The sequence below is a fragment of the Homo sapiens genome, chromosome 4 (assembly GCF_000001405.40).
Source record: "Homo sapiens chromosome 4, GRCh38.p14 Primary Assembly".
NCBI lineage: Eukaryota > Metazoa > Chordata > Mammalia > Primates > Hominidae > Homo > Homo sapiens.
The window spans coordinates 102,433,466-102,457,735 of NC_000004.12; the positions used below are offsets into that span (position 1 = coordinate 102,433,466).

Consider the following 24,270-nt stretch of genomic DNA (forward strand, 5'->3'; position numbering starts at 1 on the left):
AATTTGACAAACCTTTAGCCAGACTAACCAAGAGAAAAAGAGAATACTCAAATAAAATTACAAGTGAAAAAGGAGGCATTACAATTAATACCACAGAAAGGCGAAAGGTGATGAGGCCACTATGAAAAATTATACACCGAATTGGATAACCTAGAAGAAATGGATAAATTCTTTTTAATATAAAACTTACCAAGACAGAATTAGGAAGAAATAGAAACTCTGAACAGACCAATACCAAGTAAGAAAATTGAATTACTGATAAAAAAAAAAAAATGTCCCACCAAAGAAAAGCCCAGTACCTGATGGCTTCACTGGTAAAATCTGCCAAACATTTAAAGAATAATTAATGCCAATTCTTCTCAAACTCTTTTAAAAATTTAAGAGAAGGAAACACTTCCAAAATTATTTTATGAGACCAACATTACCCTGTACTGAAGCCAGACAAAGAAATTATTTTAAAAAATTACAGGCCAATATCCCTGATTAATATAGATGCAAAAATCCTCAACACAAATAATACTAGCAAACTGAATTCAACAGGACATTAAAATGATCACATACCACAATCAAGTGGGATTTATCCCTGGCATGCAAAGATGGTTCAACATATGTAAATCAATCAGTGTAATACACCACATTAACAGAATGAAGGATAAAAATCATATAATCATATAATCATCTCAATAAATGCAGAAAAAGTATTTCACAAAACACGACATCATTTCATCATAAAAGCTATCAACAAATTAGGCAGAGAAAGAAAGTACCTCAACACAATGAAGACCATAAATGTCAAACCTGCAAATAATACACTCAATGATGAAAGCTGAAAGCTTTTCCGCAAAGATTAAGAACAGAGTAAGGGTGCCCACTATCACTACTTATATTTAACATAGTACTGGAAATCAGACCTAGCGCAATGGGTCAAAAAAAAATAAACAAAAAGCATCCAAATTACAAACATAGATGTAAAATTATGTGGTTGCAAATGATATGATCTTATATGGAAAAAGCCCTAAAACTCCACCAAAAAAGTATTAAACTAATAAACAAATGCAGTAAAGTTTCAGAATACAAAGTCAATATACAAAAGTCAGTTGCATTTTTATACCCTAACAATGAACTATCAAAAAAGAAGTTAAAAAAATCCCATTTACAAAATCAACAAGAAGAATAAAAATACTTGGGAAGAAATGTATCCAAAGAGGTGAAAGATCTGCACACTGAAAATTATAAATCACTGATGAAAGAAATTCAAGAAGAAACAAAAAAAAGAAAGATATCCCATGTTAATATCAATATTGTTAAAATGTCCACACTACCAAAAGCAATATACAGATTCAATGCAATCCCTATCAAAATGCCAATGGCATTTTTACATGAATAGAAAAATCAATTCTAAAATTCATCTGAAATCACAAAAAAACCCTGAATAGCCACACAATCTTGAGGAAGAACAAAGCTGGAGGCATCATATTTCCTGATTTCAAAATATATTGTAAAGCTTCAGTAATCAAAACAGTATGGTACTAGCATAAAAGCAGACATATAAACCAATGGAACAAAATAAAGAGTACGGAAATAAATCCATGCATTTATGGTCAACTGCAAAGGTGCCAAACACACCTTTGTGAAAGAATAGTCTCTTTAATAAATGATGTCAGGAAAACTGGATATCTACATGCAGAAAAATAAAATTGTACCCTTATCTCACACTATATACAAAAATCAACTCAAAATGGATTAAAGATTTGAAGCTATAAAACTGCTAGAAGAAAACAGGGGAAAGCTTCTTGACATTGCTCTGGACAATGATTTTGTTTTTACTATACGACCTCAAAAGCATGGTCAACAAAGGCCGGGCATGGTGGCTCATGCCTGTAATCCCAGCACTTTGGGAGGCCCAGGTGGGTGGATCACCTGAGGTCAGGAGTTTGAGACCAGCCTGGCCAACATGGTGAAACCCCATCTCTACTAAAAATATAAAGATTAGCCAGGTGTGGTGGCGGGTGTCTGTAATCCCAGCTACTCAGGAGGCTGAGGCAGGAGAATTGCTTGAACCCAAGAGGCAGAGGTTGCAGTGAGCCAAGACCATGCCATTGCACTCCAGCCTGGGCAACAAGGAGCAAAAACTCCTTCAAAAAAAAAAGCATGGGCAACAAAAGCATAAATAGACAAGTGGGGTTGGATTAAATTAAAAAGCTCTGCACAGCAAAAGAAACAACAGAGTGAAGAGATAATGTATGGAATGGGAGAAAATAAATGAAAATCATACATCTGATAAGGGCTTAATATCCAAAATATGTAAGAAACTCAAACAACTCAACAGTAAAAACAAAAAACCCCAATATGAAAATGGGCAAAGGACTTGAATAAACAGTTCTCAAAGAAGTATAAATGGCCAACAGGTATATGAAAAAAATGCTCAGCATTACTAATCATCAAAGGAATATAAACCAAATGCATAATGAGATAACACCTCACAACTGCTAAAATGGCCATTATAGGCCGGGCGCAGTGGCTCACACCTGTAATACCAGCACTTGGGAGGCCGAGGCAGGTGGATCACAAGTTCAGGAGATCAAGACCATCCTGGCCAACATGGTGAAACCCCATCTCTACTAAAAATACAAAAATTAGCTGGGCATGGTGGTGGGTGCCTGTAATCCCAGCTACTCGGGAGGCTGAGGCAGGAGAATTGCTTGAACCTGGGAGGCAGAGGTTGCAGTGAGCCAAGATCACGCCATTGCACTCCAGCCTGGGTGACAGAGCGAGACTCTGTCTCAAACAAAAACAAAACAAAAAAAAACAAAGAAAAAAAAACAAAAAAAAGGCTATTATTGAAAAGTCTAAAGATAAATTTTGGTGGATTTAGAAAAAATGGAACTTTTGCACACCATTGATAGGAATGTAAAATGGTACAGCTATTACAAAAAACAGTATGGAGTTTCCTCAAAAAACTAAAAATAGGACTACCATATGATCCAGTAATCCCACTTCTGGGTATATATCCACTGGAAATGAAATCAGTATCTCAAGGAGACATCTGCACACATATGATATTGCAACATTATTCACAATAGCTAAGATATAGAATCAACCTAAGTGCCCATAAATGGATAAAGAAAATGTGGTATTATACACAATGGAATACTATTCAGCCATTAAAAATGAGGGAAATTCTGCCTTTTGCAACAACGAGGATGAACCTGGCAAACATTATGCTAAGTGAAATATGCCAGACACATAAAGACAAATGCTACATGATCATACTCATATGTGGAATATAAACAAGTTGATTTCATGGAAGTAGAGAATAGAGAGGTGGTTGCCGGGGACTGGGGGATGGGCGAAAGGGGAAGATGTTGGCCAAAGGGTACAAGGTTTCAGATATGTAGGATGAATAAATTCTGAAAATCTAATGTACAGCATGGTGACTATACTTAATGTACTGTATACTTGAAATTTGCCAAAAGAGGAGATCTTAAGTGTTCTCACCACACACACGCACACGCACACAAACACAAAATGGTCACTATGTGAGGTGATGAATATGCTAATTATCTTGATTGTGGTTAACCATTTCACAATATATAAGTGTATTAAAACATCATATTGTATACCCTAAGTCTATGTGATTTTTATTTGTCAATTATAACTCAACAAAGCTGGAAAGAAAAGACCCAAATATAGGCCCCTAGATATGGCAGAACATCATATATAGAATGCATCATGGGAGCTTTGGCCCTGGTAGTGGGCCTGGGAGCCTCAGCAGAAATCTCTGTGCCTGGCTTTACCACAAGAGAGGAAGTCACAGACAATACCTCCTCTCTTTGCCTGGACTGCAGGACTATCCTGGGCAATAAAAACTGATAGCAACAATACAGACTGCGTGGGAGCTTCCCCCCATTTTTCTGGGTGAGTGAGGCCTAGGTTTCTCATGCAATCCAAAGGGAAGAGGGTGTCCCCTGACAACTTATTATATTAATATTGAATTTCTGCTGGGGGCGGTAGCTCACGCCTGTAATCCCAGCCCTCTGGGAGGCTGAGGCATGTGGATTGCTTGAGCTCAAGAGTTTGAGACCAGCCTGGGAAACATGGTGAAACCTCGTCTCTACAAGAAATACAAGAAAATTAGCCAGGAGCGGTGACACACAACTGTGGTCCCAGCTACTCAGGAAACTGAGGTGGGAGGATCGCTTGAGTCCAGGAGGTCGAGGCTGCAATGAGCAGTGATTGTGCCACTGCATTCCAGCCTGGGTGACAGATCAAGACCGTGTCTTTTAAACATATATATGTTGAACTTCTTGTCCGTGCTAAGGAATGGAGGGATGAACCAGACAAATAGTAGGGAAATGTGACATTTAAAAATACTGAGTGTAAACTGAGCAATGTCATTCTTTACATAGATAATATAGCTCACACATTATGATGTGCACGGCTTGAAGCCTGGCTGAATCAAGGCTCTAGGATCCAAGTAAGTGACAGGCACTATCGTAGAACTCACCAGATATGATTTGGATATTTGTCCTCCCCAAATCTCATGTTGAAATGTAATCACCAAGGTTGGAGGTGGGGCCGGCTGGGAGGTGCTCAGGTCATGGGGGCAGATCCATCATGTCTTGGTGTCGACTTTGTGATAATGAGTAAGTTCTTACGAGATCTGGTTATTTAAAATTGTAGGGCACCTCCCCGCACCTTGCTCCCACTCTCGCCATGTGATGTGCTTGCAAAGCTCCCTGAGGCCCCTGAGAAGCCCAGCCAAGATGCTGGTGCCATGCTTGTACAGCCTGCAGAACCAAGAGCCAATTAAACCTCTTTTCTTTATAAATGACCCAGTCTCGGGTATTTATAGCAACACAAAAATGGCCTAACACACCACCTCTCCTAAGTACAAACACAGTATCTCTGAATTTTTTAGACTAAGAGATTAAGACCCAGAAGAACAGGAAAATTTCTTTTTCCCACCCATGTTAGTCGAGTTCGAAGAGGGGAATTTCTTCTTCCAACCATTGTTAGTCCAGTTCCCAGCTAAGAATCTCCTCTTCTCCGAGTGGCTGACCTCAGGGATTAGCACTCCCTTGACCAGAGATGATGTCTACCCACAGGGGTGTGGCCTCCCAGTCTCTACAAAGTCTCACAATAAAACTGACTAACCACCTTTACTCACACAGAAGACAGACAAAAACAGTATACAAATGTGTATTTTGTTATATCCCCAAATCCCATTGTTACAGTGTGACACAGCATAATAATTATTAAATATTTTCCTTTTCAGAGGAACACTTCTTATTCTAATCTTTAGTTCACCCTGCAGTAATGTTGGGGAACAGCTGTGGAAAGAGGAAATAATCCTTCTGTTCCCCACCCCACCACCTCTATCACTATTAAACACATTTTTGTTTTCAGATTCACGAATTTCTGAACATGTATTCTCCATACAGTTTTACAAAGTGACTCTTTTTTTCAGCTCTTGAAATTAATACCTCTTGAATTTAGTATGCAAACATATGCAAGTATTCTGGAAATGCAACAGACCCCAGATGACTAGCTAAAGCTTAGAGACTGTATGACAAAGCACTTTGAGCTCCCCAGACACATCAGGGCCTTCCCAGAGAGTGGTCTTCCCATGCTTGTAGAGTTGGGTTAACATTTCCTTTGGGTAATTTGAATACTTCAACTTCCTCAGGCTGCAGGTCCTAAAGCCTTTTGTATACAGGAAGAATGGTTTACTACTTCTTTGAGTTCTGGCTTATTAATTATAGCAATTATTTTGTTCACCTATACAGCATGTCAAACTGTTATTTATCTGCTTAATCAGCACATCAGGAAATAAAAAGCCATTGCCTGTGTAAGAAATACTGACCTGATGAAATATCTTGGAGGCATTCCTCAGTACCAATTAAAATAATAGACATTGTCACATGGTGCAATTATTTTCCAGAAAACAGCTGACGTGTACACACTAAGCTTGGCAAAATTCCTGGCTAATTTCGCAAGAATGTTTATTCCAAACTGAGATCATCTTTTTAAAAAAAGAAAAAAGACACAGACAAAGAGGGTAAGGAGGGAGGGGGAGATGAAAGTGGAGAGGCAGAAAAGGAAGGGTAGGAGACAGAAAGGAAGGAAGGGTCGAAGGGAGGGAGGAAGAAAACAAATAAGGAAGGGTTCTTCATAAATCAAGAGAAGATGTTAGATTTTAAAGTCGTCTTTTCTCTATCTGACCAGATATCTACCTAATCCTGCAACGAAATTTTATTAATTACAGAAGAGGTCAAATATTTCATCTTTACCAGAGATTCATTAATTTAAAATGTTCTAACCTCAAATTCACATTACAAAATCATAGCATTAGGTCTTTTTCAGATTTTAATAATTTCCCTAATTAACACAAATGATTTTAAAGGAAATTAATCAAGAAAAACTTTATTTCAGAGAGGTTCATGGAAGAGGAAAATATAGAGTGAACATTTACAAATAAAAACAAACATTATAGAAATGCAGAGTCATGACTGATGCATTCCAACCTTGTGCATGTCTGGAATACATCTGCAAATCATCTGCTCAGCCTTCAGAATAGTCTGTACACACACACAGATACAGCCACACATACACCCAGAGAAACCCAGGCATTGTCAAGCCTGGAGGAAGCCAATGTTGACATGTCAGTCCTTTATCTGGTAAGAAAGAAGCATGAACTGCTCTATCACACTTAGTTTGTTTCTGATTTCTGGATCCTACTAAAAAGCAAGGAGGATGAAATTTTTTTTCTTTTCTATTGATTCAGAATCTGGAATTTTGACTACAAAAAAATTTTTTTGGAAATCTTGCCATTAGTCTAAGGCAGGGGGTTACTTAGGGGTTGAAATCTATTAGCTGCTAATGTTTTTGGCTTAGTGAGAATAACAGGATTTGGGGTTCTGAAGGGAAATAGAGTTTGTAGCTTGCTTAAAACTTACTGTAGACCCCCAAATATTAAGATTTTAACATTTGTATTATTAATGATAATATTATTCTTTTTAAATCTGCGTACTGTTTTTCTAAATGTTGGGTTCTAGAGAAATATATTTGAATAGCACTTGCAACTTCCATGAGTTTCTTACCAATAGTAAAGTTATATGGTAGGAATCCCAGATAATGGCTTCACAACTCAATTTGGAAGATTATGTATAGTTTAAAGATGTTATGCTAAGTTTGCTTTAAGTGCTCCATTCAGCAAACTATGTGCAAAAAATGCAGATAGAATGATGGATAGTTAGATTAAATTATCGACTTTCTGAACTTTCCAGTTCTTACTCTGAAAGGATTTCAATTAAGGGGAAGAAGTAGTGTAGTCTTAATATAAAAGTATGAAGTAGGTTATAAATAAGCTTTTATTTTGTGAGTTTCTAATCAATAAGCTCATAATTCATGGTAACTCTTTTAGGCTAAATAAGATTATCAACATCATGACATTTTCTCCTTGCTAGATCTTCATTTTATATAGAGATTCTTCCCTTAGGAATAAAAAAAATCAGAGAAAAAATTTCATTATATATTAGGTACAGTAAATGAGTGAATTATAACTATACCTTTATTAACATTTTAGTTGTATTACAGTCAACAAGGAAAAAATGGTCTAAGGAGATACATTATGTTTGCAATGTTAACTCTTTCACATAACCAGTCTCTTTTTTTTCCCCTGAGTAAATGCATTTTATCACATTTTCTTGCAAATTTGTATCTTCTTTTCTTCCCTGCACAAGAAAAGTTTAACCCACTTACATTCTTTAAGAAAGCATTGATGAGACTAGAAATGATCAGTATTACAGATGTCAAATTAATGTAACATATTCCTTCAATCCAACATGCATTGAGCATCTACTACATGCCAGGTGCTCTGTTAGATGCTGGGGATACAAGTTAAATAAGATGCATAGGCCCTTAACTCAAGGAGGTGGCAATCTATTGGAGAAGATACTGACAAACAGAATAAAATGTGAGCTTTTTATTGTGGAAGTATAGCAGTTGGAACTCTTTGGTTGCAAATGACAGAAAACATGATTCAAACTGGCTTAAACAACAAAGAAATGAACTGGTTCACATGACAAAATTGGAGAAGGGGGAATGGTACATACAGCGTATCTCAATCCAGAGATTCAAGTGACGTCACCGGGATTGGTTTGTGCACCTATCTTAGGTCTACCTTCATCTGCATTGGATTTGTTCTCAAGCTCCAGTGAAGACTGGCAACTCCCAGCTCATTTCTTACTATGTATTATTTGAGGAGATTACTCTTTTAGTAACTCACATTGACAGAAGGGTCAGATTTGTAGAAGTTAATAATGCATCTTTATTTTGTCTTTCCTTTCCTCTTGGTTCTGCACTTCTGCTTTCCAGAATCATATTTCTAAGTAAACTTCCGGTACATAAGTCTTTGTCTCAGGCTCTGCTTTGGAGAGACCCAACCTATGACTGGGATGTTATTCCAGCACACATTAACCCCTAAATTTGCCCCGATCTATTATTGCAGACTCCCAACAACCATGCGTCTACAATGTAGTCATGGTCCCCTGGTCATACCTGATAAAACTAGGGAAAGAAGCCTAACAGACAAGGTGGGCAACTCAGAAATTTCCCCAGGGGTTGATGGGAAATGGACTGAGGAAAAGTTGTTCTCACTGTGGTGGACGAAGCTTAATGACTCGCTTTGCAACTTTACTGGAGCACATTCAGTGAGCTGATGGTCAGAACTGAGGAACTTCATCCATAAGCAGTTGTCAAACCATTGGGAGTTGGAAATAGACCACGGTGAAAGTACCTACATTAGAAAAATCAGCAACTGTTACAAATCCAGTCTTTTTCCACCCAGACAGCCAATTTGCTAGCACACCACTGCCTTCTTCCCTTTGTAGTATTCTAACACCTGAGAAAGGATGAGTGCCTTTGTTCTGTTTACAGAGCAAAGTACAGATGAAGCAATACGGGTCAGGCAAAATCAAATAATCTCCAAACTAAGAGCTTTGTTAACTCCTGTTGGGGCACACAACTTTGGGCTGAGGTCTCTCCTGAAATGAAGACCTCGCCTGAAACGAATTCTTCTTATGAAATAATTTTCTCTGGGCCCACAGGGCAGGTTCCAATTGATCTAGTAACCTATTATTGGGCTTAGAAACTAAACTGAGCTTGCCAGAGACCATCTTTGGTCTGGTCTAGTTAGTACCAGGAGACAAAGGACAAGTGACAACACAGGTCCACGAATTAACAAAAGACAGGAGAGACATGGGACTGTGCCACCCACAATCTGAAGCCATGACCTCACCACTGCTTAGCAAACCTCAGTGTATTGCTTGATGTCACTAGTAACACAAACCAGTCCTCCTCCTATGAGGAGGAACATGCCACAGGAATAGGAAGAAGGATGGAATTGCTTCCTCTGTTGGGGTTCAGAAACCAAAACATGGCACTTCGATATGCTGAACTGAAGAAGCAGCCTTAAGGTTTATTTGACCTTCCCCCTACCTCCTTTCGCTCAATCCTGTCTCTCTCAAAGCACAAGGTGAAGTTGTTCTCTGAAGATCCCTTGTCTGCCTGAAGTCTAGACCTGGCAATAAAGGAAACAATGACCACTGTTTTCTTCTTTGAATTTTTATTAACCGAACTAATACACAGGAAGAAAAGCTGAAGTCTGTCAACAAACCTGGACAGAATTTTGTCACAAACCATCGTAGGCTCTTCAGGCCCAATAGATTTTGTCCCAGGCCATTATATGTTCTCTAAGCCCATTGAATTCCCCTGAAAATCAGTTACTACCCTCCAAAAATCATCCACACTTTTCCATTTCCCTTCCCCAGTTACCCATTGGGATACTGGGTAATCACTCTGTGGTTTTTCTCCTGTGCACACTAATAAATTTGGATGCCATTTCTCCTATTAATCTGCCTTTCGTCAGTCGATTGTTCAGCAAACCTTCAGAGGGCAAAGGAAGAGTTTTACCTTGGCTCTTACACCTTCAATACTGCTTCCTTCTGGAGAGAAAAGGAGAAGAGTCTACTCCTCAATAAAAATTTGCAGCTGCCATGTTATCTGCCATGAGATCTGAGGAGCAGAGGAAGCCACTGCTGAAGGGAAGAATGAAGCACAACATGAGATGGAGAGCACTGCTGCTTTAGGTTCCTGGTAGCTTTCAGTTCCTTCGGAGGCCCAGCACGTAAAGCACTTAGTACAGTATGGAGAATGGCATTCTATGAAAGTTGATGACTATTAATGCCAGCATACTATTGTCGATGACTATTAATGCCAGCATACTATTTCAGAGATTGTAATTTTTAATTCATTTAGTCAATCTCCTCCTACTAAATATTTAGACTGCACTTTTAGTTCTCTCTCCAATATATGTATATATATCAGAGAAAGAGAATTATATAATCGTGTGTTTGTGTGTGTGTGTAATTATTCTGGCACTCATTAAGCCAGTAAGGAAGACTTTATTCAAGACTATTTATAGCCAAGGAACAGAGTGAGGGGATCAGTGGATGGAAAATTACTAAGAGGAGACATCAAGGTAGGAGGATTCTTACTAAACTGACCTAACAGGATTCTTGCTAAAGGTGGGCCAAGGACTTATAAATCAAAGGTAGGGGATGAACTTGGTCACATATCAAGGGTGACCCAATATGAGTGGGACAGGGGGAGGGCACAGATTTTTACTGAACTGGGCTATGCAAGAACAGGACACGCATACAGGAAGCCAAGGTCAGAGCTAGTTGAGAAGAGGACTCAAAAGCATAACTAAAATTTGGTCAAGGAGGGAGTCTTCGTTGAGAGAGAAAAAAATTTTTTTGATTAAAACAAATGTCTAGTAATACAATTCAGTGAACATGTATGAAGCATTTTCATAATTTTTGTTACACAGTATCAATGGATTTTTGAAAGAATTGAGCCTATTTGCAGTACAAATACGTGACAGTATGAGTTTGTCCAATTTTTCACAGCCTTTTTTGATCAATTCATAATATATGTAAGTATACAGAATTCTTCAGCCATTCAGAAAAGAAAAGGTGTAAGCACAATCATCCAATTTTTTTGTTTTATGAACAAAATTGGATGTTTTCCTCATTAAACTTACAGTGCTTTTGAAGTTATTTTGGAGTTGCAGCTTCTGTAACAGAGGTCAGGCATTCTTGTTCTCTTTGTTGTCTGAAGTACACTCTGGAGTTTATCTTATATGAAATGGTTTCCACTTTCTAACCATTTGTTCCAGTAAAATCTAGACCACTGCTACATGCAAGAGAATCAATTTCCTGATATTAATAGTCTGCATGTTTGTTTTTTTCTAACTGACCCAATCAGGAGCAAGGTAACTCCTCAGTCACAGTTTATTTTTCTGCCCAGCCTTTGAACCATTTACTAGGTATTTATCTAGTCATTTTCTTCATTCAGCTTCCTTCCCATGTGCCTTATATATAATCACTTGAAGCAGCACAGCAGACGCAGGTTTAATAAGATAGCTCTCACTATCTTTGCCAGATGCAACGTTTTCCAGTTTTCTCTTAGAAAATGCAAACAATTGGAAACAGTTATAACAACGCAGTTTACCCCACACAGATAACTCGAACACTATCACTAGAGGATTCCACAGTGAAGTGCCCATGGTATGGAGAACAATATTTCCCTGTTCTTTCACTGAAATACCTCTGCATTATTTTCCTAAAACAGAGAACTACTAACTTGGACAAAGGGCAGGCAGTTCATGCCATCCATCCTGTGCAGTCACAATAGCTAATTATAACAGCCAACCTTTATTGAGCCCTGGCAATATGCTGGTCTCTGTTTTAAGCATTTTCATGTGCTTAAAATGTAATTAAATTTCATTTAAAATTAACTCAATTAATTCTCTCTAAACCTACGAAGTGAGCATCATCAGTATCCCATTGTACAGATGAAGAAACTGAGGAACCAAGAAGTTAAAAACTTTGCTCAAGGTCACATAACAAGTAAGGGGCAGAGCTAAGTTTCAAACTCAGACCCTTTGATTCCAGACACCAAGTTCTTAGATGTCTATCTCAAGGACAAGAAAGAAACAATAGGCCGGGCATAGTGGCTCAGGCTTGTAATTCCAGCTCTTCAGGAGGCCAAGGTGGGAGGATCCCTTGAGCTCAGAAGTTCAAGACCAGCCTGGGCAATATAGTGAGACCCCCATCTCTATAAAAAACATAATAATTTTTGTAAAAAAATTAAGAAACAAACAATAAAGCCAAATTTTCCGCAATGACACATTAGTGATGTTTCCATTTACTTATCTAAAACCTTAAAAACACATTCATAAATTCATTCCAACTGCTCTAGGAACTTCCATTAGCTCACAATCCAACCTCTAAAACTTTGTATTTATCCCAAACTCTAAAAACTTAAATATTTTACGCTTCATTGGTTCTTTGGGGTTACTTTAAAAGCCAGTAATATACTTTGTCATTCTTAGATGTCAGGCAAGTTCAAATTTATTGTCAGTCCTTGTCTTCCTAAGTTGAAGCTCACTCATTTGCTAATATGCCCTTACACAGCAGCTCTGCTGTCCTTTTTCCATGTAATTGTTAGACTTTCCCTAACATCTTTACACATTTTTTTTAAGATGTGTTGACCGGAACTACAAAGAATATTACTGGCTTATATGTAAAAGGTCCTTGCTGAAGTATAGGGAAATTTTATTTTGTTTTTACTATACCTCTCATGATGAGTGTTCTTGACCTTTTTGGCAATGGAGACACACATTGTCTCTCCTTGGAAATCTATGTCTCCAGGATCATAATGAAATGTCTAGAACTGTGATATCATGGAAAGAACTCTAGCCTGTACATGGGTATCCCAGGCCCAGTTCCCTGCTTTGCCAACTTTCAAAAGTGTGATTATGGAGAATTATTTAAACCTTGACTTCCTTACCCACAAAAGGGAACACTGATGAACCACTCTATATGGGTGGTTAAGGACATAGATATTGAAGCCAAACCACCTGGTTCAAAATCTAGCTTACTTGTCTATGGGTGTTAACTTGGGCAACTTACTTCACCTTTTTGTTCCTCAGTTTCCTCATCAGCAAATGAAAATTATAACACTAATACCTACTTTCAAGCATCAAATGGTTGTTAAAACCATCAGATGAGTTAATAAATGTAAAGCACTGAGAATCTAGAACATTGTCTGTAACAGTAAGTGTTAATTATTGTTACATTACAAGGATACCATGAGAATGAATTAACATGTAGTGCCTGAACTATTAGTACACACCTAAACACCAGTTCATTTATGCAGTCATCTACAGTGACCACTTAGTACATGCAAGGCAGTATGCTAGACACAGGCATATAAACCAAAAAGTCACTTGTCCTCACTAGTTATATTTTCATAAGAAAAGAAAATAATAAACCAGTAAATAAATATACCACAAAATAATAACCACAAGATAATAAATATACCAAGGCTCAAAACTCTTACTACTAAAAAAAAAAAAAAAAAAAAAAAAAAAAGAATGGCGTTCTGAGAGTACTCATGATGTCACAGAACCTGAATCTGTCTGAGTCCAAACTCCCAGGCTTTTTCCGTGACTTTTTACAACCTTCTAGCAAACAATTTCTACAAAGAGTGAAAAGTATCAAGATGGAGGCTTGCACCTGTGGTGGCAGTTTATTTTTTCCAAATGCATTTTCTTTCTCTTGCCATTAGCCTCAAGGCCTATATATGGACCTCTCCTCAGGCAAAGAATCATCTGATCCCAGGCATACCTGCAGTTCCCCCGCAGCTGGTACACACGCTGCACAAGCCCAGTGCTTTGGATGCGAGAGTTGACTTTGAAGATACCTACTTTAGGTAAGCATCTCATTACGATGAGTAGAATAATTAACAACCACAGTAAGTGCTTTTCTGTACTAAAAATCTTAATAACTTTCGGCACGTTAAAAATAGCCAAAATGTTCTAATAAAAAATATGCTGTTGAGTTAACAACAATTAAGTGAAAAGCAGATAAAAATAAAATTAACAAGTGATCCAACCCCTTCATAAATTTACACATGGGTGATCTCAGTAAAACGTTTGTTTTTGTTTTGTTTTAAGACCTAACTGAACTGTGATAATTGCTTTCTCTTTCAGGAGCAGTTACAAATATTTTGTGGCAGGAAGTCTTCCCTTAAGTGCTGAGTCTGCACCGCGACAAACACACTTTTAAAGAAGAAAACTGTATAAGCAGCAATGTCTTCATAGCCAACCACTGGTTCAATCATTTAAAAAGTTTTTAATCAAGGACCCCTAGAAGGGAGTTTCCTTTATAAAAAGCCCTCTGATTACAGGCGTGAGCCACCATGCCATTTGTGAGGCCGAAGCGGGTGGATCACCTGAGGTCAGGAGTTCAAGTCCAGCCTGGCCAACATGATGAAACCCCATCTCTACTAAAAACACAAAAAATTAGCCAGGTGTGGTGGCAGGCGCCTGTAATCCCAGCTACTCAGGAGGCTGAGACAGGAGAGTTGTTTGAACCCAGGAGGCGGAGGTTGCAGTGAGCTGAGACCACACCATTGCACTCCACCCTGTGCAACAAGAGCAAAAACTCCGTCTCCAAAAAAAAAAAAGCCCCCTGATTCACAGCTCAGGAGTAGGAATTCACACAGTTTCTAAGCCTGAGCAACCTTAGAAAAGAAAGAAGGAAACAAAGATGTGAAAAATTTATTTTGCATAGACTCAGTCAGAAAGTAGTGAGAAGTCTGGTCACAGAATAATTTTATTTAGGAAAACAGAAATCTATGGGACAATAAATTCTATAGCTACATGGAAAATGGAAATAACAATGGCAGCTTATGTCCTTTAAAGCCATGCTTCCGAGACTCTAACGTGCATATGAATCACCTGGGGATCTTATTAAAATGCAGATTCTGATTCAGTACTTCTGGGGTAGAGCCTGAGATTCAGTAAATCTCACAAGCTCCTTGGTGATGCCAATGCTGCTGACCCCTGAACCACACTTTGACCAGCAAAAACACATTTGCTTATTGTAAAGGTTATATCCACTGTTAAGTTTAAACACCATTTCATAAATTAATGTGAAGAAGAGTTAGGAATTAATTGTTCATTCAATCAACATCATTGAGCTTACTATATGCTAGGCCTTATGGCGGGTACTAAACATTCAACAGTAACTAAAGCAAAAAGTACACTTGGGAGGCTGAGGTAAGCAGATCGCTTGAGCTAAGGAGTTCGAGTCCAGCCTGGACAACATGGTAAAACCCCATATCTACAAAAAAATACAAAAATTAGCCAGGCATGGTGCCATGCTCCCGTGGTCCCAGCTACTCAAGAGGCTGAGGTGGGAGGATCACTGGAGCCCAGAAGGTGGAGGTTGCAGTGAGCTGAGATTGCGCCACTGCACTCCAGCCTGGATGACAGAGTGAGACCCTGTCTTAAAAAAAAAAAAAAAAAAAAAAAAAAAAAACTACCCTTGATCAATCTACTTTCGACTGTTCTTTCAAGCAAGTAATAAGCACAGGGCTTACAAGAACTTTTGTCATTCACAATTCAAAATGTATCAATCATGCTTCTCGTGTTAAGTTTTTCTTGATGTAACATTTTTAAGAATGCCTCAATTCAGATTGTTTACACTTTTTTTTTTTTAGATGAAATCTCACTCTACTGCCCAGGCTGGAGTGTAGTGGTGTAATCTCGGCTCACTGCAACCTCCACCGCCCAGGTTCAAGTAATTCTCCTGCTTCAGCCTCCCAAGTAGCTGGGATTACAGGCACCTGCCACCGCGCCCGGCTAATTTTTGTATTTTTAGTAGAGACAGGGTTTCGCCATCTTGGCCAGGCTGGTCTTGAACTCCTGACCTCGTGATCCACCTGCCTTGGCCTCCCAAAGTGCTGGGATTACAGGCGTGAGCCACCGCGCCTGGCCTGTTTACACTTTAAAAATAATTGGCAATTTAATCCAGTGAATTAGCATTGCTCTATTTTATATGAACTAGTAATAAAATTTTAAAGGTTTTCATATGCATGGCATAGTTTACCAGCAGCTAGCTACCTTATTGCAAATGTTACTGGGTCATTTCAATTAAAATTAAAGCAAATAGGAAAGTGGCAAGAAATGTTTCATTTAATTTTGGCTTAGTGTGGCCAAGTTCTCCAGGTGAATGTCATGGCTTCTGCCTCAAATTTGTATGTATAGTACAGATAGTAGAAAAACTTATACTCATCAAAGAGTTCATCTTTTTTTTTCCTCATGAGCATGAACTACCGCCCTGCTGCATATTAAATGGCAAAACAGAATCACCAGAAAGTTTCAAAATCCTAACAGGTTAGACATACTAAGAGAACAGATGACCTACTCAAGATTATTTTGCTTCCCCAAAAATGGATAACTCTCAGCAAGAAGGGAGAATAAGTACATGAAGGGCCATGTATATTCACAAAGAGCATCTGAACCAAGTCTTTGCTTACCAGATTTTACCTTTTTAAAAGATGCCAGGAGGTGGCAGCATTTGTTGCAGCTGTGTGAGTTTACTCATTAAAGCACAGGTTCTCAGAAAGTCTGGTGTATCAGATTTGGAGGAGAAGGGTTGGTGACAAGCATAAGGTGGCAGGAGTCTGTTCGGATTAAAAAGGCATTGGGACAATATTATAACACAATATTATACTTGAAAGCAAAATAAATCTGGTGTCATTGGTGTTCTATTAAATCTTAAAATCTTGGGTAGCCATATACAAAAATTAACTCAAGGTGGATTTAAAGACTTAAAAAACCTAAAACTACAAAAACCCTGGAAGATAACCTAGGAAATACTATTCCGGATATAGGATCCGGCAAAGATTTCATGATGAAGACGCCAAAGCAATTGCAACAAAAACAAAAATTGACAAATGGGACCTAATTAAAATAAAGTGCTTCTGAACAGCAAAAGAAACTATCAACAGAATAAACAGACAACCTACGGAATGGGATAAAATATTTGCAAACTATGCATCTGAAAAAGGTCTAATATCCAGAATCTATAAGGAATTTAAGCAAAAAAACCAAACAACTCCATTTTAAAACGTGGGTAAAGGACATGAACAGACACTTCGAAAGACATACTTGTGATCAACAAGGATATGAAAAAATGCTCAACATCACTTATCATTACAGAAATGCAAATCAAAACCACAATGAGATACCATCACACACCAGTCAGAATGGCTATTGATAAAAAGTCAAAAAATAACAGATGCTAGTGAGGTTGCAGGGAAAAGGGAATGTTTATACACTCTTGGTGGGAATGTAAATTAGTTTGGACATTGTGGAAAGCAGTTTGACGATTTCTCAAATAACTTAAAACAGAATTGCCATTCGACCCAGCAATCCCATTATTGAGTATATACCCAAAGGAATATGTTAAATAAATTGTTCTACCATGAAGACACATGCACGCATATGTTCTTCATAGCACTATTCACAAGGGCAAAAACATGGAATCAACCTAAGTGCCCATCAACGGTGGATTGCATAAAGAAAATGTACTACATATACACTATGGAGTACTATAGAGCCATAAAAAAGAACGTGACCATGTCCTTTGCAGCAACTTAGATGGAGCTGGAAGCCAGTATCCTAAGCAAACTAACACAGGAACAGAAAACCAAATACCACATGTTCTCACTTATAAGTGGGAATTAAGTGTTGATTAAATATAGACACAAAGAAAGGAACAATAGACACTGGGGCCTACTTGAGGGTGGAGGATGGGAGGAGGGTAAGGATCAGGTACTATGTTTATTACCTGGGTGATGAAATAATCTGTACACCAAACTCCTGTGACACATAATTTATCTATAAAAGAAACTTGCACATGTACCCCTGAACCTAAAATAAAAGTTTTTAAAAAAAATCTTCAGTAGTGGGAATATACAGAACTTATCTGCATCTTCAAAGAACAGAGTGAGAAAGACAAAGGAGAGCCTGGATTTTAACTGAGAGGCATATGACTAAAGTGTAGTTCCAGAACTGTCTCTATAAACAATTTCCTTCACACATCATTATATTTGCTAAGGGTTTGGTATGGTGCCAACTACAGAGTATGAAAACTCAGTAAATATTTCTTTCTTTCTTTTTTTTTTTTTTTTTCTGAGACAGAGTCTCGCTCTGTCACCCAGGCTGGAGTGCAGCCGCACAATCTCTGCTCACTGCAGGCTCCGCCTCCCGGGTTCACGCCATTCTCCTGCCTCAGCCTCCCGAGTAGCTGGGACTACAGGCGCCCACCACTACGCCCGGCTAATTTTTTGTATTTTTAATAGAGACGGGGTTTCACCGTTTTAGCCGGGATGGTCTTGATCTCCTGACCTCGTGATCCGCCCACCTCGGCCTCCCAAAGTGCTGGGATTACAGGCGTGAGCCACCACGCCCGTCCTATTTCCATTTTTTAACCCATTCCCACTGCTGAGAAAGATTTGCTCAGGGGCAGCTGTTATTTCACTAACCAATAGCAGTGCAATTTTTGCTTCTCATACTTTTGTCATAGGAAAATCATTACAAATATAACAGCCATAAATGTCTCGGAAATCATAGCAGATGAACCTGGCAGCCAGATAATCAGGAATGAAGTGCCCTTTCTAAGAGTTCAGTCTAAGAATAAGAATCACAATGAATGTGATTATTCTAGTTGCCACAGCCCCGCTCAGTGTTCAGTTTTAAAGGCTTCCCGCCTTATCATCAATCAGTCTCTTTACCTATATTCCTACTTAGAAAGATATTCAACATATGCATCACTATTTTTAAATTATGAATTAGGACACATTAGATAAAAGAAACTCTTTTTTAGTTTTTTTTAAAAAGTTGATCTGCATTTATCCTGTTGAGATACACTTTTAAGACTTGAGAATATATACATTAAAAGCCCTACTATCCTTTTCTATAAAATTCTACCTCATGATCAGTGTACTATTTTCATTATTAGAACAGATATCAAAACTTCAGAAACCAAAATTTATTCTGGGATAATGTATTCATTTTTTTAAAATCTTGTGAATTCTTCATCTACAGTAAACTAAAAGATGAACAATGAATCATGTGTGGCTTGGTATGATTCAAAATTCTGAAGAATAGACTTGTTAATTGTCACATATTCTTTCCTAGGAAAGAATATGTGTAATGTTGTGACCCAAACCGCTTTCAAAAAATCCACCAAATTCTACTAATACTAAGGTTTCAAATGGGAAATTTAGAGCTAGAAAAGGTACATAGAGATAATATAATCCAACATTTTTATATGACAGATGGGAAAATTTAAAGAATTCAATCAAAAACATTTGTAATTTTAAGAATGTTATTTGCTACATCCATATAGATGATTACTATGTATACTTTACATAAGAATTTTTAAATATTTGCTTTTGATGTCTTCCTTCTTTTTAGGCAAAAAAAGTCTATATTGCTAAAAATAAGAATAAACTATGAATTGCATATAGCCATATGTTTCATTGTTTGATATGACTGTTTCATGAGATTCTATCTGGCTCAATATGATGCAGGTTTAACTACAGCGGGCTTAAGAAAAGATACCAATATCTATGAATCTGTATAGCTTGGAAAAAGGAGAAAATGCTTAGGGTGGCACAAATATTTGGAAAAGCAAGAGAAAAAAATGGAATAATACAATTTTGTGGCAACATGAAGTGCAAGCAAAACCTGCTTATGTCAGTTATTAGAAATCAAGGGGAGAAAAATACATTTGGTAACAATAGGAAATTAAAGAGAGATTTTTTTTTTAGGGACTTTTTAGGAAGCAGGTTAGATTTGCCTAAGTTGCTTCTCTCCAACTTTCCATTAAAATACCTATGAATGTCATTTTTTTTAAACTGGCAATAGTTCTGTAACTCAGAAGACTTTATGCCAAATTTGGGGTGGAATTTTCACTAAAGATGGTGTCAAGGGAGATGGATAGACTATTTAGCAATTTCTTCCACATCCTGAGCCATACAGGCAGTCCTGAAGAAGATGGAAACATACTTCAACTCATCATCTATTTGGTAAATCGATTAATTTCACTTATCTTCAAAATGTAGGCACTGAACACTTACACATTCCTCAAACACATAAAAATAGGTATCTAATACCCTCCACCACAATTCAGACCACAAGTGAGGGAGGGAGCCCAAAAGTTGGACATAAAAATACATATACTTGGGAGGAAATGTATTCATAGACTTCAATATATAATTTATGTAAGCAGGCAATTGCATTTTTAAATTATCAATGTGTTTTCCTCATTCTTTTTTGAGACACATGACTTTCACTTAGTCTTCCCTAAGTAATTACTTGCCTGGGTTACAAAATAAATGCAAAAAGAACTGGAAAGGTCATGGTGGTGCATGCTTGTAATCCCATCGCTTTAGGAGGCCTAGCTGGGCAGATTGTTTGGCCCCAGGAATTCAAGATCAGCCTGGCCAACATGGCAAAACCCTATCTCTAAGACAAAACAAAAATTAGCCAGGCATGGTGATGCATATGTCTGTAGTCTAAGCTACTTCAGGAAGGGGAGCAGGGAGGGGCTGAGGCAGGAGGATCACTTGCCCCCAGGAGGTTGAGGCTACAGTGAGCCATGATGGGGCCGCTGCACTACAGCCTGAGCAACAAACCGAGACCCTGTCTCAAAATAAAAAAGAAGAAGAAGAAAAAGAAGAACTGGGGTATCACCAACAGTTGCATCCAAATATAAGATTTTGTAGCAAGACAATGAACAGTCATGTAAGTCAGTTTAGACCATAAAGTTTTACGTCAGTAAAAGGAAAGTTCTCCTAGGCCCTGGGAAGAAAAGGAGCTAGAATAGCCAGAAGAGCAAGATTATATTGTAAATATTATAATACAGTTATTAAACTGAATGCAAAAGCCAAAAAAACTTGATATGAAATTGATATATTTCTTTTAAAAATAAATATTATACCAGCTCCATAAGCCCTGTTACATGACAAAGACTGAAATGCTGGGGGTGGGGAATTGGAGTTAAAGTAAAGTTCTGCTTTCCCAAGCTCCTTTGACCACATCCCACAAATGTTAATAGGAAGTAGAGTGAGTTTAAATTTTAGTCACAAACTCGAATGCAGCATATCTTAGTCTCTTTTCTGTTGCTTATAATAGAATAACTGAAACAGAGTAATTTTCAAAGAAAAAATATATATAAATATAGAAAATTATACATTGAAAATTAAGTTTCCAACACATGAAATCTGGGGAACATTCAAGCCCTAGCATTCCACCCCAGCCCCCCAAATTCATTTCTTTTTCACATGCAAAATACACCCACTCCATCCTTATAGCCCCCAAATCCTAACTTGGTGCAGCACCAACTCAAAAGCCCAAAGCCTACAGTCTACACAATGGTAGTATAGGATTAAGGCAAACATTCCCATTCCAAACGGGAGAAATAGGCAAAAAGAAAAGAATAACAGGCCCCAAGCAAATCCAAAACCCAGCAGGACAGACATTGTATCTTAGAGCTGGAGAATAATCTCTTTTGAGTTCACACACTGCCTCCTGGACACGCTGGAGCAGGAGTTGGGCCCTCAAGGCCTCAGGAAGCTGCACTCCTATGGCTTTGCTGGGTGCAGCCGCTGCTCCTTTGGATTGGAGTCCAGTGCCTGAAGCTTTCCTAAGTAGATGTTGCATACTGCTGGTGACTTCACAGTTCTGAGGTCATGGTGGCAGTCTTGGTCCCAGAGCTCCACTAGGCTTTATCCTAGTGAGGACTCTCTGCAGTGACCATGGCTCCACTAGGCATTGCCCTGGTGGGGACTCTCTGCGGTGCCTCAACCCCACATTTCAGCTGCGCGTTGCCTACTGGGGTCTCTCTGTGGTGGTTCCAGCCCCTGTAACAAGTCTCTGCTTAGGTCCCCAGGATTTCCATAACATTCTCTGAAATCTGGGTAGAGGCTGCCAAACATTTATAGCTCTTGCTGTCTGCAAGCCTGCAGAATTAGTACCACGTGGACTCTGCCAAGGTTTATAACTTCTGCAGCTGCAGCTCAGCTGTGCCTGGTGTGGGGCGCAGAGTCAGAGGCAAGGAGCCTACTACAAACCTGCAGGGAGCCCTCCCTGGACCTGTATCCCAGTACTACTCTGCCCTCCCAGGCCTGCAAGCCTGCGATGGGAGGGGCAGCCCCGAAGATCTCTGAAATGCCTTCTGGGTCTTTCTTCCATTCTCTTGATGATTTCTGCTGTCTGTACCAATCTCCTTAGCAGATGGTCTCTCTAGGCCATACTCTTGGATTCCTCTCCTGAAAATGCTATTTCACATGGTCAGGCTGATAAATTTCCAAATTTTTCCACTGTTTCCCTTTTCTCTGGAAGTTTACCACTGGCAGTTAGAAGTAACCACACAGCAGCCTGAACACTTTGCCGCTTAGAAATTTCTTCTATGGGATATTCTATTCTGTCACTTTTAAGTTGACGGCTTTTCACAAAGCCCTAGGGTGTGGCCACGCAGCTGAGTTCTTTGCTATGGTGTAGCAAGGGTGACCTGTGTTCCAGTTCCCAACACCTTATTCCTCATTTCCATCTGAGGTCTCATTAGCATGGCCTTTGCTGTCAACATTGCTATCAACATTCTGGTCATGACCACTTCACCAACCTCTAAGGACTTCCAAACTTTCCCTAGTCTTCTTATCCTCTAAGGCTTCACCAGAATCTAGGCTTTTTTCTAGCCTATTTTTCCAAATTCTTCCAGCCCCTGTCCATTACCCAGTTCCCAAGCAGCTTCCACATTTTCAGGTATTTGTTATCAGCAACACCTCACTTTTCACTACCAATTTTCTGTTTTAGTCCATTTTCTGTTGCTTATAGAATACCTAGAATGAGTAACTTATAAATAAAAGAAAAGCATTTTGTACAGTTATGGAGGCTGAGATGTCTCAGGGTGAGGGACCAAATCTGGTGAGAGCCTTTGCGCCGGTGGGGACTCTGAAGATTCCTGAATTGAGGCCACAGGGCATCACATGGCAAGGAGACTGGTTGTGCTAGCTCAGGTCTCTCTTTTCTTGTATAGCCACCATTAATCCATTAACCCTTTAATCTGTTGTTCCATTAATGGATTGATTCATTACTGAAGGCAGAGCACTCATGATCCCATCACCTCTTAAAGTCCTCACCTTTTAATAGTGCCACATTGGGTATTAACTTTCCAACACATCAAATTTGGAGGATACATTCAATCATAACGCAGCAGAAATACAGCCTAGTTTATTTTTCTACAAATCAATTTAATATCTATTTCAAGTCCCTTTTCCACCAGAAGTGGAATTTGGGGCTCAATTCTTCTCTTCTTTAATTAAGGTTGTTTACCTAGTGCCAAGGAAGGAAGCAGGTCTGCTCTTCAATGTCGGCCATCCACATAGGCATCTGCCAAGACATCCATCATCTAGTCTGGTTTTCAGAGCTTGAGCATCATCAGTCCAAACAAGGTGACACTGAGATGTCACACCACCCAAAGGCACAGGCACTCTGGGGCCATTCAAATGATAAGTCATCATTTGAATCCCTAGATCTAGTCTTTGCTGAAGTTTATGTTTTGGAAATCCTTGTTATATTAATAATTCTTATTGGTACTATCTTTCTTGCTTCTTCTTGTAATTTTGCTTGCCTCTCTCTTCTTTTCTCAGGTAGGCTCTATGTACAACAAGATCAGCTTCTAGGAAATCTAGCCTTGTATGTTCCTTACATATTGTAATCACAGGAATAGAGAAACACTCTTTCTTCCAACACACAAATCAAGACAAGATAAAGGACTCTGATTGCCCCAGTTTTGGTAAATTGCCCACCTCTGGCCAATTCTTGAGTCAGAAAGATAAGCCACTCTGATTGGTCAGCTCAGCCTATGTGCCATTTCAGGTTAAGTTTCACAGACTCACATCTTAAATCAAAGATTCCATTGAGAGTGATTTCTTAAGTATATGCTTCTGAGAGAAAACAGTAAGGGAGTGGGGAAAGCTAGAGAAGGGGAAAAAAGTCTTGCAATTTCCAAAACCTGATATGGGAGCTCTAGAGCATAAATTATACCTCCTAGCATGTCATCCTGGGGCAAAGAAGCCCTGGGTGTGGAGAGATTGGAAGGCCATCAAACTTCCAGGCACTTTCAGCTTTACATGTAGACAAGGCAGACCCAGTGCCCAAGGTCCAGCCTCCAAAGGGCTCAGGTGCAAAGCCTTACTGGCAAAGCACACAAAAGCTGGGAATGGGCTTACAAAACTGGCAAAAAGGAATCCCGAAGAATCGAAGTGGAGCATCCAGTG

General features: G+C 38.8%; 1 long non-coding RNA gene across 1 annotated transcript in view, besides 1 other annotated feature; it reads right to left on the reverse strand.

The window, feature by feature from the left end:
• The window catches only part of NFKB1-AS1 (NFKB1 antisense RNA 1), an 83,885-nt gene that overhangs the window by 14,864 nt on the left and 44,751 nt on the right, over positions 1-24,270 (reverse strand). Inside the window, exon 2 of the long non-coding RNA NR_136202.1 lies at positions 16,466-16,602. This is a non-coding gene — a long non-coding RNA (NFKB1 antisense RNA 1). The remainder of the gene's footprint in view (positions 1-16,465; positions 16,603-24,270) is intronic.
• Positions 14,007-14,086: an enhancer, noted in NCBI's record as "active region_21752". NCBI's record gives its function as "activates an Ori minimal core promoter by ATAC-STARR-seq in GM12878 lymphoblastoid cells {active_cell/tissue: GM12878}" and the evidence as "EXISTENCE:reporter gene assay evidence [ECO:0000049][PMID:35858748]".